The sequence below is a fragment of the Homo sapiens genome, chromosome 2 (genome assembly GCF_000001405.40).
Source record: "Homo sapiens chromosome 2, GRCh38.p14 Primary Assembly".
NCBI classification, from domain to species: domain Eukaryota; kingdom Metazoa; phylum Chordata; class Mammalia; order Primates; family Hominidae; genus Homo; species Homo sapiens.
In genome coordinates, this window is record NC_000002.12 from 64589566 (window position 1) to 64607282 (window position 17717).

The 17717-nt window shown below is 44.4% G+C and overlaps 1 protein-coding gene and 1 long non-coding RNA gene across 20 annotated transcripts in view, besides 2 other annotated features; one reads left to right on the forward strand and one right to left on the reverse strand.

The window, feature by feature from the left end:
- Positions 1–3440, forward strand: part of AFTPH (aftiphilin) — a 68678-nt gene extending 65238 nt beyond the window's left edge. For 7 of the 13 annotated variants that reach the window (NR_164746.1, NR_172363.1, NM_001375969.1 and 4 more), the window contains one exon: positions 2320–3440. Coding sequence is in view for 10 of the 13 variants with exons in the window: in NM_001375969.1 (NP_001362898.1) it covers positions 2320–2470 (151 nt within the window). In the remaining 3 variants the exon portion in view is untranslated. The remainder of the gene's footprint in view (positions 1–2319) is intronic. The other 6 variants (NR_164747.1, NM_001375970.1, NM_203437.4 and 3 more) reach the window with 1 other exon arrangement.
- The window catches only part of LOC105374773 (uncharacterized), a 68499-nt gene extending 50825 nt beyond the window's left edge, over positions 1–17674 (reverse strand). For 5 of the 7 annotated variants that reach the window (XR_007086343.1, XR_007086342.1, XR_007086340.1 and 2 more), the window contains exons 1-3: positions 17463–17674; positions 16572–16676; positions 12960–13061 (exon numbers count right to left, since the gene is read on the reverse strand). This is a non-coding gene — a long non-coding RNA (uncharacterized LOC105374773). The remainder of the gene's footprint in view (positions 1–12959; positions 13062–16571; positions 16677–17462) is intronic. The other 2 variants (XR_007086347.1, XR_007086345.1) reach the window with 1 other exon arrangement.
- Positions 16500–17699: an enhancer, noted in NCBI's record as "BRD4-independent group 4 enhancer chr2:64833199-64834398 (GRCh37/hg19 assembly coordinates)". NCBI's record gives its function as "activates an origin of replication core promoter dependent on BRD2, P300/CBP, MED14 and CDK7 cofactors, and independent of BRD4, by STARR-seq in HCT116 cells {active_cell/tissue: HCT116}" and the evidence as "EXISTENCE:reporter gene assay evidence [ECO:0000049][PMID:35650434]".
- Positions 17215–17264: an enhancer, noted in NCBI's record as "active region_15895". NCBI's record gives its function as "activates an Ori minimal core promoter by ATAC-STARR-seq in GM12878 lymphoblastoid cells {active_cell/tissue: GM12878}" and the evidence as "EXISTENCE:reporter gene assay evidence [ECO:0000049][PMID:35858748]".

Genomic DNA, 17717 nt, shown 5'->3' on the forward strand with positions numbered 1-17717 from the left:
GATAAATGCACAAACTATGAACTGTGTAAACTTTTTATTTTAAAATATAATTTCATATTGCCTCTGAAATAAGGCAATTGTTTAAAACCCTAGAATAATCTTTACCAACTGTTTCTTAGGTAAAAACTTATTTTTTGCTGTCTGTTCCTACACCCAAACTGCACTCCACAAATGGGAAAGTCCATTTAGGTGCGCATTTATTCACTGTTGTTTTAAATAACCATTTATCATTATAGAAGTAGTAAAGTATATTTTTAGAAAGTTAGGAAATCCGGACCAAAAAAAATTAAAAATGAAAGTATCACATTCTTACCATTCAGGATCACTATAATTCCTTAGTGTAATTCTTTCAGATCTTTTCCTATGCAAATACATATATGGGGGGGGGGGGGGGGTTTCCACCAAAAATGAGATTTTAGAGGTCATAGTGAATTGACCTCTAAAATTGACCTAGTCTTAGTCAGTGATCTCTGTCCATTTCAGTGAGTTTTCATTTCATCTACTTAGGCTATATTCAGATTTCTCCAACTATCCTTTCTCAGCTTTGTACAAACCAGTATTCAATTGAAGACTATTGTACCTGGCTGTTGGGGCTCTTAAGTCCCTTTTAACCTAGCATATCTCCTCATTCCTTCTGTTTTCTTATTAACAGTAGCTTATATAAAGATTAGTATAGGTGTCCTACAGAATGTCCTAAAAGCTCTGGATTTGTCTGTTTGCTTCCTTCAAGTAATATTTGCTGTGTTCTCTATCTCCCTATTTTCCTGTAAATTGGAAATTATATCTAAAGGCTTGCTGAATTCAGGGTAAATATTTTGGCTAGAATGCATCCTAGGTGTTATATCACATCAGAAGATCCATACATCTGGTTGACTCCATTGTTAGTGGTGCTGAGATTGACGATTGGTGAGAAACTGACCTTTTCCATTATACAGTTCCAGGTTTTCACTTGTCATGTATCTGGTTTTACTTTGGAATGATGCAGATATCCAGTTCCCCATCAAACGTCCACATAATAGTTTTGCCACTATTTAAGTGCAATTAAAAATGTAGATTTTCATCAGAAAAAAATGTTGGATTGCTATTCCATTCTTCTAAGAACCTAGTACTGAATGCAGTATTTGGTTCATCTGCTATATGCCTGATGCTTTTTCCCTTTTGAAAAACTTTAGTCCTAAAAGTCGTTGGATTTTTCATTCATTCTATAAAATCTTTTTATTTCAGTCTGGATTCAAAGTGGTAACAGAAAAGTCCTAGGAATAAAAAAGCCTGTAGCTATCCTTCCTTTCTTGCTTTACCTCCTGGCTTCCTGCACCCCATCCAAGGAAAAAGGAAACATTTAGGTCAAAGAAATACCTTGTGTCACATCTAAGAATACCAGCTATCCTTTACCATAAAAGAGAATTATTAGGCTTTTTATAATGAACAACTTGAAATGATTTTTGGTCTAAAGCGAATAATATGTATAACTACTCCTTTAATATATTTAATATCCCAGAAAAAGTTTGAATTGCAATCATGTGCCCAATTTGAGGCTCATTTGGCATTTTCTGTGGCTCACCTGCTGAGTAGACCTGGGTCACCAGGCATTTTCTTGTCTGTGTTAGGCACCAAACTGCTAATTTCCCATATCGGGGGCCAGTGCAGCAAAATCTACTTCATCTACAGGACCCATAGGATTTGAGATTTCCCTCACCCAGAGTTCCGTCCTGCCTGTGTACGTGCATAATAACACCAGCAACCAGCCCTAGTGCTGCTGCTTTTGGACCTGCTGTCTGTATCCCAACAGGCTGAGACTGGGTCTTCTGAGCTGAGAGCTTTCTCTCCTGGAATTCCCCACTGGGGATAAAGAGAGCCTGAGGTTAAAATGACTTAGTCTTTCCCTGGGCACACTTTGTTTCAGGCTGAGGTAGTTTTAGCGGGTGGAGGGGCAGGGAAAAACCCAGTTAGGTGGAGTGTTACTAAGGCTTCAGATTTATATTTCTGTTTAGTAACATTTTAAAATTATGCCTGGGTAGATGCTTCTAGCCTAATGTAAAGGCTAGAAAGTACACGAGCTGTCTAGGTGTGCATGTGAGTATCTGTGTGTGCATGCCTAGCTTTAATGAACATAAATAGGCCGCACGTCACTCTTCATGAGATTTGGCATTTGGCACAGGAAGCATACTGCACAAAAGTATTACAAGATTCAGGAACTAGCAGAGGAAAAAATACTCAAGTCCCCACAGATTGCTAACTGTCTACCTTGAGAGTGGATTGTCTCCCATTTTACCTACAGCAAAGTCACATTAACACACTTGTCTTTTTTTCATTTGTCAGTAGGAAACCGAAAAGAGAAGAGCACCTAAGTGAAGAAGCTATCAAGGTGATCGCTGGCCTTCCTGACTTAACATTCATGCATGCCAAGGTGTTGATGTTCCCAGCCACGTTAACACCTTCCACAAGCTCTCAAGAAAAAGCAGACGGATAACTGATGTGAATTGGACAGTTTCTATTGCTTTTCCTTTTTTCCATCCCTTCCCTACCATCAAAAGCATACCTGCTCTAATTAAAAAAAAAAAAAAAAAAAATTCAAGTTCAGCTGATTTGTTGGTAAGCCGCACTAGAAAGGTATACATAGTAATGTATATTTATTTACATACTGAAGTCCTAAATTTATATTAGAAAAATGTAAATAATCGGGGGTAAACATTTTTGAAGATTTATTCTTTTTGTGTTGCTGGGGTGTATACATTTATGTCTTTGTGAAATACACTGGTGGTGTCCTTCTTACAAAACTTTTGAAATAAAAAAAAAACTCAAATCTTCACTGTCTGTGAAATCCCCTTCAGTCTTTTCAGATTGCATTGACTGTCCTCTTGATTTTTCATATTACATGTCAAATTACTTTTGCTATCATAAATAAGCTCCAAAGTCCCCCATTTAATTTTTTTTTAATTTTGTGTATGATGGGTTTCAGATCTGGCTTTTGTTAACATTTTGGGGCTTTTTTAATCTTTTCAATCTGGCGTATTGCTGTTTGACCTTTTGCAAGGTACTTAATTGCTCTTTTGTTATAGGGTATGGATCATTGTCAGAACTTGATTGGAGGGGTTTAAAGAGATTGTGTCTGTTTAAAATCAGTATGATTCAGAGAAGGACCAAATTATATGAATGTCTTACAATGGAATTTACTTGTTACTGATTTTTTTGTTCTATTGTACCACTATTTTTTGAGGATTTTGCACAGTGTAAAATGACATAATCATAGATTGCTATGGTTTAGGCTGTATATACAGTGAAAACTATGGGTTTTAAATGTTTGGGGAAATTCCTATGGAAAAAAGAGAGACATGTAGAAGAACCTCTAACAAGGTTAATGTGCATGCCCAAGGTCTTTTGAAATTTCAGTGTGTAAATTTCCTTTTAGCTTATACAAAAATAAAATAATTTAAAAGAAATTTAGCCTGGTGTCTTTGTACTTTGGTATGTGAGGAAAAATGTAATGAGTTTGAATGAGAAGTTTTGTTGAATATTAACATATTTCAATCCAGAGAAAATCTTTGGTAGGGCTTCTACTTTGTTGAAGCCAGGAAGAATTAGAATCTGGCCTATAAGAATTGGATCAGCACTTTTAGTAGCTGAGCTGTTTGTTTTTATATAGAACATGAGATCAGTAAAGAAATTCCCATGATTCATTATAATGTGTCTTCATCAGAGTATTGGCAAGGTTAAATAGGGATTTGTAGGGATTTTTTTTCTTTCCAAGAATATATAAGCGTGAAATGAAGGTAGGCAGAAAAAGTCTAAAAATTTTAGAATATTAGATATTGCTTCAGCAAAAAGTCACATGACATTGCATCAGGAACAGGCAGTCAGCTGACAGTCGGCCTCATCCACTCTGGGAATGTGCCAGTGGAACTCCTGCACCTCTGTCATTGGCAGATTCCTGTGTTGCCAGGGGATTACACTGGCCATTGGAACGCTTGCCTGAGTGTAATGTAAGTATGGCCTGGAGTGACGGAGTGACAAGATGCCTATCCAGTCCATATCCCACCATTTCCCTAACTATTAAAAAAAAAAAAAAGTTTGGTCTTTTTCAGAGAAACTTTCTTTCAAAATAATCACAAGTTTTTAGTGTCCAGCAAACCTTTTGGGTGGAAAAAGATGACTCGGAAAATTCCTTAGCAGAATTTTTCATGTTTCAGTAATTGAAACATAAAGGGCTACTTCTATAGTACATTACAACTAAATTATAATGGCAAGTTTCACCAACCTAAGTTCACAGCCCACATGTTAACTGTGTTACCAAGAGAAAATTAATCAACTTCTCTGAGCCTGAATTATCCATAAAAATGGGAGTGATCCTACCTCATGAGGTTGATGTATTAAATAATGGATGTATTTAATAAGACATTTGTCACATGAGTAAACAGTCAGTGAGCGGTAGCCAGAGCATAGCATCAGGGAACTCCGTGAAAGCTCCTGGAGTCCCAGTAGGTTCAAGAAGCAGACACAGGAGAAAGGGTCACTAAATAATAATAGAGTCACTTGGCATTTTAAAATTAAGTGGGCCTTCGTTATGAAAGTGGCTTATTTTAATGACTCAGATATTTCATCTTATAACCACTTTTAGATAAGCCAGACTTTCCTTTTGTTGTTGTATTGGTCTTTGATGATTTCATAACAGGTACATTAATATTGGATCATCATAACTTAAAGTTAATGCTTCAGTACTGAAGACCAAAAGATGGTCAGCTTTGTGCCAGACCAGATTTAAACTATACAATAGCAGTGGCTGGCAGGAAGAGCTTTGAGCACCTTCTTGGGATCTCAGCTAAGGGGCAGCCTGTCGCTTACAAGCTTGTCTTGGTCATCAGCAGCTGCACATCTGTCTTAAAGTCAACCAGGAAGTTCCTGCAGAGTTAAGAGGGGAAGAAACTAAGTAGTAGGAGCCGCAAAAGGCCAAAGCCTACACTGGGGTTCAGCAAACAGCTTTGGGTCCTCTATGTCTTAAAACCAGCTCATTCATCCCGCAGCTTCATCCCACTGGATGCCCAAGTCCCGAGAGCCAGACATAATTCCCCAGGTTAATCCAAGCCAGACTGGGAAGCATGGGAGAAAACTTTCCTAAGTTGAGTCACATCAGTACTATTTTTATGAGTCGTCTTTTTTTTTTTTTTTAATAGAGAAGCTTGTTCTTCCCTCTTCATGATTGTGTTCTTTATGTAGAATTTGTCATCTTTTCATTCCTTCATGTTTATTGAATCAGTTAGGATTAGGCTTGGCTGTGAGTAACAAAAACCCAAAATACTGCATTTCATGTAGTAAGACTCATCCTTTTGTCACATTTTAACTTCTCTGAAATTGGAATGTGTCATACAATTGGATGGGTTGTCTTTAGTTGGCAGCAGTTTCTTTTTCTTAGCGACGTACTAAGTAATGCTACCTTACAACCAATGACAGAGTAGATGAAAATGGTAATGGTGGCTTAAACAGTGGAATTTTATTTCCCTCCTGTAAAATGCTGGAAGAAAACAGTCTGGGGCTGGTAAGGGGCTTCATATGATCACCTTCTGAAGTCCTTACTAGCTTGTTCCATCATTCTCAACACATGGTTTCTACCCTCTGGTCCAAGGTGGCCGTTAAGGTTATGGCCTTCCATGCCTATATTCCAGCCATCAGGGTAGAAAGAGTGAAGAAGGGATTCTCCTTCCCATTAAGGATACTTTCATTAGGGCATACACAGTATTTCCAGTTATAATCTATTGGCCAGAACTTCATTGCAGGTTCCTATCTAGCAGCAACAGAGGCTGGGAAATACCTCTATTCTGGGTGGCCATCTAAAAGATGGGGAACCTAGTTGTAAGGAAGAAGAGATCATATAGGGCAACCAGTAGTCTGAGCCACACCTATTTTTTATTTCTCAGCTCATAAACATACTTCCTTGAGATAAACTAATGCATAGAGAAATGAATTCCAAGATCATTTTCTCAGGCTGCAATGCCTCAGGCTAGATTTATTGCCTTCTTGATGCTTTTCCAAAAGGGAAAGGATCTATAGAGGGCAGTACAGGATTTCCTGGGACCATGGAGGAACAAGTGCTAAGACAAGTCCCGGGTGGAAGTAGGGGCAGCCTGATGAGATGAACACTGAATTGGAGTGGGAGTTGTGTGTTAAATACAGCCCTGTCACTAACCAGCTGTAAGATCTTCGATAAATCCCTTTTTTAAGCACCAGGTACTTCATAAAATGAGGGATTGGAGTCTATAGAATCAAAAACTAAGGTAGGAGAAAACCTTAAAGAATAGAATTTTAGGGCTGGAAGATCAGCTGGTCCAGTGCTTTCCAACTACTCCCAGGAGCCCCGCAGCAGTGCCAGGAGGCCTTGGCACCTACAGTCAGGGTGTGTCCAATAATAACACACTGGGCTTATATATTTAGGGAGGGGAAAGGTGATTGCAGAAGATTTCATGTAATAAAAACGTTCCATTGCTACCAAAAGTTGAAAACCAAAGATGACTCAATACTCATAGCTGAAGAAATGGAAGCCTAAATAAGAAAACTGACTGGCACATCATTACATATCTATAACCAGGGGCAGGACCTGAACCCAGTTTCCCTTACTCTTGGCTTTTTTGTTTATACCCTCCTGCATCCCCACCCCACCCCCAACCCCCGTCTGAATAGCTGGCTGGCCACCTTTTGCCTGAACATTTGCAGGGACACTGAGTGGGCTCAGGACTTCACCAGGAAGTCTCCTTGCCCACCTCCAATGCACACGTACACACACACACACACACACACACACACACACACACACGCTTGGCTGGCAGCACAGATTGCTAGGACCTTGAGCGGAAACCTGGTTTCTCATAACCGGTTGCTCATTGGTTCAAGTTACCTTCTCTCAAGCTGCAGGGATGAACCTAGACTCTTCCATGAATATCTGAAGATCACTACCATGCTCCTCCTCCTACCAAACCTCCCGTGATGACATGGTTTCCAGGCCTTTCTCACACACATTATTCTTTTCTGGACATTGTCCAGTTTGCCAAAGTTCCTCTTAAAATGTGCTCCCCTGACAGAGCCAGAGGCCATCTCTTCACTGGCATGGGGCTCAGGTTTATTTCAGACCCTACTTTTAATGTAGCCTAAAATTGCATTACCGTTTATGGCAACAATATTGCCTCTTTAGCTCAGTGTGTGAACAGCCTTTTACCCCTAACTGCCGTCAAACCAGATTTTTTTTCTCTCATCTCTCATCTCCTGGTGTCACTGAGTTTTTTGAGCCTAAAAGCACGGTTTTATATCGATCCTTTTTCAGGATTTTTTGTCAGCTTTAGACCATTGTTTCAGCCCGTTCATCCCATCAAATCTTCATTGTACCATCAACACACAGACTTGCCCTCCTTCCTCTGCTCTGTCATCCACAGATTGATAAACATCCTTCATAATCCAAATCACTCACACAAAATGTTGACCAGTAAAACATCCAGTGTGCCAGGAAGACCCTGGGTGCGGCTTCTCAACCCAGTGATGCCCACATTTCTTCATCTTGCCCACCAGTCATAAAAACAGGTGAAGCCTTGCCAAATCCAATCATGTTACACCTGTGGCATCTCATGGGCCATCCTGAGCATTTCTACAGATGCTCCCCAAAACCTCACGCAGCTTGAACATTTCTGTGATGCCCAGCATGGTGGCACACACCTGTAGTCCTGGTTACTCAGAAGGCCGAGGCAGGAGGATCACTGGAGCCCAGGAGTTCGAGACCAGCCTGAGCAACACAGTGAGACTCCTTTTTTTTTTTTTTTTTTGAGACGGAGTCTCACTCTGTTGCCCAGGCTGGAGTGCAGCGGCAAGATCTTGGTTCACTGCAACCTCCACCTCCTGGGTTCAAGCAATTCTCTTGCCTCAGCCTCCAGAGTAGCTGGGGTTACAGGTGCGTGCCACCACCCCCAGCTAATTTTTGTATTTTTAGTAGCGACAGGGTTTCACCATTGTGGTCAGGCTGGTCTTGAACTCCTGACTCATGATCCGCCTGCCTCGGCCTCCCTAAGTGCTGGGATTACAGGTGTGAGCTACCGTGCCTGGCTGAGATTCCATCTTTAAAAAAAAAAAAAAAAAATCTGACTAGTTCTCCAAAAGAAGCATAAGGATGATAAAACAAGTAGAAGATCAAATGACATCTACTCAGGATGGGAGATTAAGTGAGGATGATCCATATCATCACTGGCATATAGAAAGCCCTCAGTAAACAACTTTTTATCTTCATTCATCCAGATCAGTCTTCTGTCATTGATGATGCAGATAGGAGGCTGATAGGAGGAGGATATGGTTGTCTTCTTAAAGTTGCCCTTAAGGAATCTGCTTTGTTTCAATTATCTATCATTTCAGTTATCTTTTCAGCCTGGACCATCTGTGAGAATACTGCATATCACTTTACATAATGTTATTATTTTAAATTTACCTCTTTCAAAAACTGCTCCCTTCCTTCAGTTTTCAAAAACCAGGATTTAGGGAACAAAATACTGGTCACTGTTGTTGTCAACTGTGACTTCAAAGCCTTTCGCTTGCTCACTCCCAGCTCTCCTTTTGACCAGAGCTCATGCTCCTCTCCTGCCTCACCATCCCTCCCCTGAAGGTCAGGGACTAGGGAGGGTCACGAAGACCAAAAGGGTCAAGGAGGGAAAATAAGGAGATCTTTTGTGATCTGCGCTGTGTCTACCTTAGAAGAGGGGCTGCTGTCATCTCCTACCCAGTGTTTCCGCTACAGAATCCTTGATCAAAACAGCTAATGATGATCTCAGTGGAGATCGTCATCTTTCCTCTCCCCTGAGCTCTGTGCGCCACCCCCTTTTTTATTTATTTATTTATTTATTTATTTATTTATTTTTTGAGACAGTCTCTCACTCTGTCGCCCAGGCTGGAGTTGAGTGGCACAGTCTTGACTCACTGCAACCTCCGCCTCCAGGGTTCAAGCAATTCTCCTGTGTCAGCCTCCCAAGTAGCTGGGACTACAGCTGTGTGCTACCAAGCCCAGCTAATTTTTGTACTTTTGGTTGAGATGGGGTTTCACCATGTTAGCCAGGCTGGTGTCAAACTCCTGGCCTCAAGTGATCCGCCCTCATTGGCCTCCCAAAGTGCTGGGATTACAGGCGTGAGCCACTGTGCTCAGCCCTGCACCACTATTCTGACAACCCTATGGCCGTCCCCACCTAGATGTCCCCAAGACACTCCTGCAATTAAACATGTGTACCACAAAGGCTTGTGCTCACAGCCTTCCAGCCCTCCACCCGACCCCACCATGCCCCTGGCCTTAGGATCACCCTTGCTCCATTTGCCACACTTCAGGTTCACTCTCAGCCTGCTCCCCTTCCTTACCCCTCATCCTATTGGCCTGAAATCCTGTCAGTGACACCTCCTAAGTATCCATTGCCTCTCTCTTCAAGCCTTCATCATCTTTACATGATTATTGTAACAGCCTCACACTGACCTTCCTCTGCCCGTCCCACCTCCAATTTAACCTTCCACTATGCCAATGGAATGCTCTTTTCCTGTTGAGCATCCTTCATGGTACCCCCTTACTCTCTGGACAGTCAGCTCCTTGGCAGGTTCCACAGCACTGGGATCGTCCTCTCTGCATGGAGGCTCCCACCTGGCCTACCAGCTCCTTGCTAGTTACCAAATGCCCACTGAGGGCTGGCCCACGCTCATCGTCTCTTAGGAAAAGCCTTTCTCACCAGCCAGCCAGCCTCATTTCCTCAGGGAGCCTTTCTGGGCCACCTCCACAGACAGAGCTGGCTCTCCAGCCTCTGCGATTGCTTGGCAAATCTCTGTGATCATGTAATGCTCATCATAAAACTACTTCACATTTATTAAGAGCTCTGCTGAGTGCCAAGTACTGGGCCTCACACACATTCTCTCTTAATGCTCACGGTAACCCTAAAAGGTACCTGAACTCATCTCCTGATAAGGAAACCAAGACGGGACATGATGTCACTTCCCCCAAGGTCATAGAGCCAGGAAGCAGAAAAGTCTTGAGCCCAGATCTGAAGGATCACAGAGCCTGAACACAGCCACAGAGCATCAGCCTCAGTGGGATGAGGGCTGTTATGTCACCTCTCACCTTGCTTCCTGATGATGGATTTACTTGTCTCTCTCCCTCAGGCCATGAGCTCCTTGAGAGCAGGGACTGGATCTGGCTCATGTTTGTCCTCTGTCCTCTGGCACAGTGCCTGGTGCATGGGCTGACTTTCATTTTGTTTGCTTCCTAAGCCAGTTTATGCATGAGCCCCTCAGGGGAATGTACGGGGACCCTTCCTGAATCTGTGCTTTGCTTCTGCCTGCAAACATTGTGACCCTCACCTCAAGCAATGTCCAAATTTTCCCCCAAAATATCATATTCTATCACTCACTGACTCAGTTCTCCAAGCTCTGAAGCAACCCCCCAAACCCTTCGGTTTTCATTCTGCCAAATGCTATCTGTTTCTGTTGGCTTTTGCCTCAATCCCTGCCTTGTGTAACCAGCAGGTAAGAACTGGATATGGGGTGATCCTACTCCTGGGGTACAGCTCTACAGCCCACAGCACCAGGAAGCCCCTAGTTGAAAAGTATGTACACAGCTCTGTAGGAGAGACCCCTGAACCTAGGACCCATCCTGACCATTCCTCCTAGGGTGCCCTGAGTGGATGGTTGGAGGAAATCAGTAAAGATGCCTCTCAGTTGCCGAGTGTGATACCACAGGAGCACCTGAAGGCATGCTGCCTAAGGAAACCTGCCCCACCCACTGTCAGCCTCACCGCACCCCACCCCCAACCTTTTATTTTTCTCTGTTATCCAAAGCAAGACTTCCAAGTTTGGGCTGGAGGTGGTGCAGGGAGGGTAGGTGGAGTTGCTTCTGACTTTGTAGCTCTGGGACCAGGCTTCCCAACATGGCCCAAGGACCCCCAAACCCAGCAGGATTACTGCCAAAGCAAGCCACACTGGGGGCTCTCCTTCTGTTATAAGTTCAAGTCACATAGCCTGGGCACGGTGGCTCACACCTGTAATCCCAGCACTTTGGGAGGCTGATGCAGGAAGATGGCTGAAGGCCAGGAGCTCAAGACCAGCCTGGGCAACATAGTGAGACCCTGTCTCTATAAAAATAATTTTTTTTAGGTGGAGTCTTGCTCTGTTGCCCAGGCTAGAGTGCAGTGGTGTGATCTTGGCTTACTGCAACATCCACCTCCCAGGTTCAAACGACTCTCCTGCCTCAGCCTCCCAAGTAGGTGGGACTACAGGTGTGCACCATCACATCCAGCTAATTTTTATATTTTTTAGTAGAGATGGAGTTTCACCATGTTGGCCAGGTTGGCCTTGAACCCCTGATCTCAGGTTATCCGCCCGCCTCAGCCTCCCAGAGTGCTGGGATTACAGGCATGAGCCACTGTGCTCAGCCAACAATTTTTTAAAATAAATAAATTTAAGCCACAGCTTAAAAGAGACCCTCAGCTAAATGGAGACATGTTACCAAAATCAGTATTTTTACTCAGTGGGAGGAGAGAAGTCTTGCCTAAGGACTGTCCAACTCCTCATAGAACACTTTAGTCCTAGGAAGCATCAGGGGAGTGGGGTTGCAATTTATTTCACTTTATTTCTGCTGAGTTGCCTTGGGAGTCTGAACTTTGATCTGGGTGGGAATCAGAGAATGGCACGGGTCAGTTCAAGCTCTTGTCAGATAAAATGTTCTCCCTTGGCTCAAAGAAGAGGCCTGAACTCACTTCCCGTTAACCTAATATCTGTCTCGGCACCCCTGTTCCACGGTGATCCCTTCTCCCCCACCCTATTTAATCACCTTTCCTGGCCACTGCTGTCCTGGCCATGCAGCAACAGCTACAACCCAGAAGACAGGCAGGTATTGCTTCCCTTCAGCTACTATCTTGTAACTCCCTCTTAATTTACAATCTGTTTGCTGTTTCAGATGTTTGGAAAGAAAACGCCTTAGTCAGCAGCCCTAGAAAGCCTCATTTTCAGTAAAATCTGGACACTTCTTTTCCACCCTAGGGTTGTGGTTTTTGTTTGTTTTTTTTTTTTTTTTTGGCTGGAACCTAACATCTGTGAGGCAGACAGGACCACATGGGCTCTGTGTCACCAGACACCTGTTGAAAGGATGTAGTCAGGGGTAGAAAACCTGGGCCGAGCCCACCGGTGACAGCCGGTATTTATCTAATATCAGCCTCCACTGACAGGGAAATGGACGGCAACCCAGCACTAACAGAAGAGCAAAGAGAAGAAAAGGTGATGGGTCCGAGCTGCAAATGCTCCTGGGGACCTGCTGGGAATCCCTTTCCCCACTGACTGACAAGAAACCCAAAGGTGCTTGAAGACATGATGGTTTTCCCTGCTGAAGAGGAGTGGCTGCCACCACAGTATACACCTCCGCAGGGCTGACCTCTGGGGAGAGGGTCCTTCCAGGCACATCCGTAAAGCGACACACCTGTCAATCTGCCTGAGTTTTCATGGTCTTGTGGTGTGCTTCTGAAGGATCATGAAAGAAAGGGCATGCGCGATTTTAGATAATTGTTTCAACACGGGGCTTGGTAGAAAACAAAACTCATAACTGGAACTGTGTTTTATGCATGAGGCAGCTCTGGGGCCCTGCCAGCTCATGGCTTGCCTAGGCCATACGTCCTCAAACGCACCAGCCTCAGGACATGAGGAATCCTGAGCCCTCGAGGTCACAGAAGAGGTGGCCTGTGCATCACTCCTGGAAAAGAGGCAGAAAAGTGGCAACCAGAGTTCAAATGAGGGCACCGCCACTTCTGTTGTGAGACCATAGACCAGTATGTAAAATGTGGCTAGGAATTAAAGTAAAAAATACCAAAACAGCCTGCTTAGGGGAGTTAGAGATAACTCATTGTCTTCGTCTGTTTGGACTGCTATAACAAAATACATTAGACTGGATGATTTATAAACAACAGAAATGTGTTGCTTACGGTTCTGGAAGCTGCAAAGTCCGAGATCAAGGCGCCAGCAGACTCCGCGTCTGGTAAAGGTGCACTCTCCGCTTCGCAGATGACTTCCTACAGCGTCCTCACCTGGAGGGAGAGATAAGTAAGCGCCCAGGCCCCTTTTATAGGAGCACTAATCCCACTCACAAGGGCTCTGCCCTCGTGGCCTAACACCTCCCAGGTGCCCCAACTCTTAACACCACCACATTGGGGATTTGGTTTCAACATATAAATTTTGAGGGAGACACAAACATTCAGACCAGAGCACTAAACCCTTAGCACATGAATCTCCATAGGGTATGACTGCAACATCGACAACCACTTAGCATAATGCTTGGAAATAGTCAGTGCTCAATAAATGTTAGTTATTGTTTAGGGCACCAAGATCTTAGTGAGTATCTACATTGTATACTGCCTGGGTTGGGAGCTTTTTAGGGCATTAGGGTATTTAATATGCAGCACCTGATTCAATGAACTAATTAGGGACCGTCAGGTCAGCTGTTCACTATCAAATGATTATGAGCAACCTACTCTTGACTTAATGATGAGGCTACAGAAGTAAGCCCTGTCAGGAGGCTGGGAAGGGGCTCAGTTTGGGGAGACGGCCATGTGGCCCAGAATCACCCAAAGAGACCTCAGAGGGATCTCATAGGCATGTCCATAAAAGGTGACCCTTGGCAACCTGTCCACATTTTTAATTGTCTTATGATGGGCCCATGTTTTTAATTGTCTTGCGGTGGCCTGCAAGATGGGTGGGATGTGAACACGTGCAAAGGGAGTGATCAGCCAGGGCCCATCCTGGGAAGTAAATCCCAACAAAGACTATCCATCCATCCATTCATTCAACTTCTAATAAGCACGTACTATGTGCCAGGTGCTTGTGTGTTCCATCCCAAACTCACAGAGAGTGTTCACCCTTGGGTTTGTCAAGCATCTGGTACCTGGCCAAGCCCAGGAAGGTGAGTGGTGTCCTTTAGGGTATCTCATCTTCCTCCCTCGAGCCATCCCTAACTTCAAATATCTTAGATTTTATTTACTTGTTTATTTTACTGAAATTTTTTAGAATAAATTATGGACATTCTCCCATGTCACCCACACACACCAACACCATATCCAAAATAAAGGGATGATTTTCCATATCTAACCTCACCACTGTTATCACACCTAAGACAGTTAAACATAATTTCTGACTCCCATTTGAAATGAAGTCTATATTTGAATTCCTCCAAATGTCCCTAAAATGTCTTTTCTGGTTTGCCTGTTCAAACCAGGGGTTGCTCAAGGAAAATACATCTCATTTGGTTGTATGTTTCTTTTCATCTAGAACAGTTCTCCCATCTTTTTCTTTTTCTTTATAATTTCAACTTTTATTTTAGATTCAGGGGGTACATGTACAGACTTGTTACCTGGGCATATTGTATAATGCTGAGGTTTGGGGTATAAATGATCCTGCCACCCAGCTGGTGAACACAGTATGCAACAGTTAGTTTTTCAACCCTTCCCCTTCTCCCTCCCTCTCCTCTCTAGTAGTCTCTGGTATCTATTGTTGCCATCTTTATGTATGTCCATGAGAACCCAATGTTTAGCTCCCACTTATGTGAGAACATGTAGTATTTGGTTTTCTGTTCACATTAATTTGCTTAAGATTATGGCTTCCAGCTCCTCCTAGGTTGCTGCAGAGGACATGATTTCATTCTTTTTTATGGCTGCACTTTTATTTTTCATTACATGGCTTTTTTGAAGAGATCAGGCTAGTCGTCTTGTAGAATGTCCCACATTCTGGATTTATCTGATTGTCTCCTCCTAGTGTCATTTAGCTTGTCCCTCTATCCCCTATGCTTCCTCTCATGGTATCCATAAGCATGGGGGTGCTCAACAACCTCGTCATCCAGAAACCCCCAGCAGTGGGAACTGACCCTGTGGGTCATCACTCCTACTGGGCTATCCCAGCCCCATCAGGATTGGTCACCTGGTGCCTGGTCCTCCTTCCTCACAGGGGCCTTTCTCAGACCTGTGCTGAACTCCCTCCCTCCCCGCTTCAGCCTCTGCTGGAAGAAGCCTTTCCTGACCATTCACTGAAAGTGTGCCCCCCAACCTTCTCTAGATCCCAGCCTACTGTATTTTTCTTCTTATCACACCATATCATCCAATATATATTTACTGTTTATTTTGTGTTCTCTGTCTCTCCTGCCAACACTGTAAACTTAATTAGGACAGCGACCATTATTGCCACAATCACTACTGTATCCCCAGTGCCTAGAACAGCTTCTCATACAAAGAAGGCACCTCATAAACCTTGAATGAATGAGCGTATGAATGAATGGGCCCTATGGCTAATAATCCAATTCTAAGTATACCATCTACCCCAAGTAATATTGCTTGAGGGAATCATCTTCCCAGAAACACATACAAAATTCTGAAACTACACTTAACATTAAGCAGGGGAAAAACCACATCATCTATGAACAGCAACAAAGTCTCCCTGTGCAAGTTGTCTGGTCTTCCAGCCCTCAGGCCCACCCCGCCCTCTCCACCAGACTTTGGGCAACTCCTGGATCACTCAACCCAGGGTGAATCCAGGGCCGCTTAGCCATAAATACCATTTAGTCTCACTCAGCAAATATGAGCCCTATGAATTATAGCACTTGGCTTGGAGGATGATTTCTTTTGTCTGATTTTTTTCTAAGTCGAGTCTACTTTTTTCCTCCTTTTTCTTTCTTAGCCTTCAAACGCTGAACAAATTCTGCATTCAACTCCCAGCCAAGTTTTGTAGCTTGGAGCTGGCACTGAGCCAGAGGGCCCGGGCAGAGGAATCAAGGAGAGTCCCCGGAGCCAGGGTGGAAGCTGGGGTACAACCCACTGATGAGCAAAGGAGCAGGGCTAGCTTGTGTTTTGTTGGGATCAAACCAACAAATGAGACATGGCACAGTGCACCATCTAAAATGGAGCTTCTCACCCTGGCTCCCAGGGAGCCCAGGAACCCCCTGAAACTGTGTGCAACATCTTGTGAATATTTGCTTCCAAGCACCTTTCTGGGGAGAGGGTCTGTAGCTTTCATCAGTTTCCCAAGGGAGTTTGTGACATCCTCACTCCACCCCCAAAAAGAAGGGTAAGAAAAACACAGTGTCTGGCAGCTTTTCGGATACAGGATCAAAATTGTGTGAAACTCTTGCTATGCCCGCACCTCACCCAGGAGCTCAGGCTCATTTAGGAAACAAGGCCCGATTGAAGGAGGCAGGTTCGGGTTTTGTTTTATTTTCTTTTGTTGAGTTATCATTTCTTGAGAGCTTCCTGTATGCACAGCACAACATTAAGCTCTCTGACAACAACAATAATAGCTAGCTCTCAACCCAGCACTTAGCGCCAGGTCCTGTTCAAGGTGTTTTCTGTGTATTTGCTCATTGACTCTCCCAAGAGTCCTAAGAAATAGGTACCATTATTCTCATCTCACTTTACAGATGATAAAACTGAGGCACAGAAAAGGAACTTGCCCCAAAACCCACGGCAAGACAGATCTGAACCCAGGGGGTCTGGCTCCAGGCCCATGTGCCTATAGGACCCCTCAAGCTCTGTTATTTCATTGGAACCTACACTTACCTCCAAAGTATGTAGTCTTGTTTTCTCCGTTCTACAGGTGATAACACTGAGGTTGAACAACTTGCCCAAGGTCACCTCATGCTTTACACACCTGTCACTGTGAGACTGACAACCAGAGAACAGTCAAAGGAATTCAGAGGGGGTCATTTCAGGAAGGGGAGACAGGGGAAGAGTCAAGCAGGGGCGGTGGGAATCTGGGAGGTCATGGAGCTCAAGTGTGTGTGCCTGAAAAACCGCTCCCCGAGTGCTGAGGAGCAGCCAAGCCTCCTTCCAGAGCCCTCAGCCCAGGAGAGGTGGCTTACAGTCCCACAGGTGGAGGAGGAGCCTTAGGCTCAAGGTTAACACCCACTCTCCTTCCCTGTTCTGCATCACAGTCACGGGGGTCACCCAAGGAGTGCCTTGTATGGTAGAGAGAGATTAACAGGGCAGCCTCCCAGCAGTCCCCACCCCAACCCTGCTCCCTGGGCCAGCTGTCCCGCTGTCATTGACCCGGTCCCTATTTACAGTTCAGTAGCAGAGGCCTATGACTCAGGGACAGAGGGAATTCCCACGGTGCCAGGCCTCAGGCCATGTGGAGAGTGGCTCATTAAGAGCCACGGCACAGCGATTACCTCCAGAGAGGCGTGTGAGCAGGTACCTTGGAAGCTCTGTTTCTCATGTTTCTAAAGATCGCCAAGGTGTTGTGTTCTGAGTAATAATGAATTGCCTTCATTATTCACACGCACAACCTGCACCACCGCCCACAAAGGCCTTGGACACTCCTGCTGAAGAGGTCAAGTCAGCCCTCTGGTCCCAGCTCTCCCATTGACTGGCTGGTGGGTGTCAGCCTAAGAGCCGTATGGACTTCGTCAGTGCCGGAGTGTGAGGCCCTTTGTATTTTGGAGCCATTACCAGAAAGCAGAGCCTCCAGTAGACCTTTTTCAAACTTTCTGTGTGGTTTGCACGTTCGTCCACTGTACCGAGGTAGCATTTCTTCTCATTATGACTCCTGGGGCTGTCCGCCTGCCTCCGGTTCCCAAAACCCTGTGGGTGTGGAAGCTGTGAGGTAAGCAGAACATGGCCCAGCCCCCGGGCCCTGCTGATTGGTTCAGAAGTGGACCTCTGGCGCAGGCCCCTCCAACCACAACATCCTGAGCTCTTGGCAAC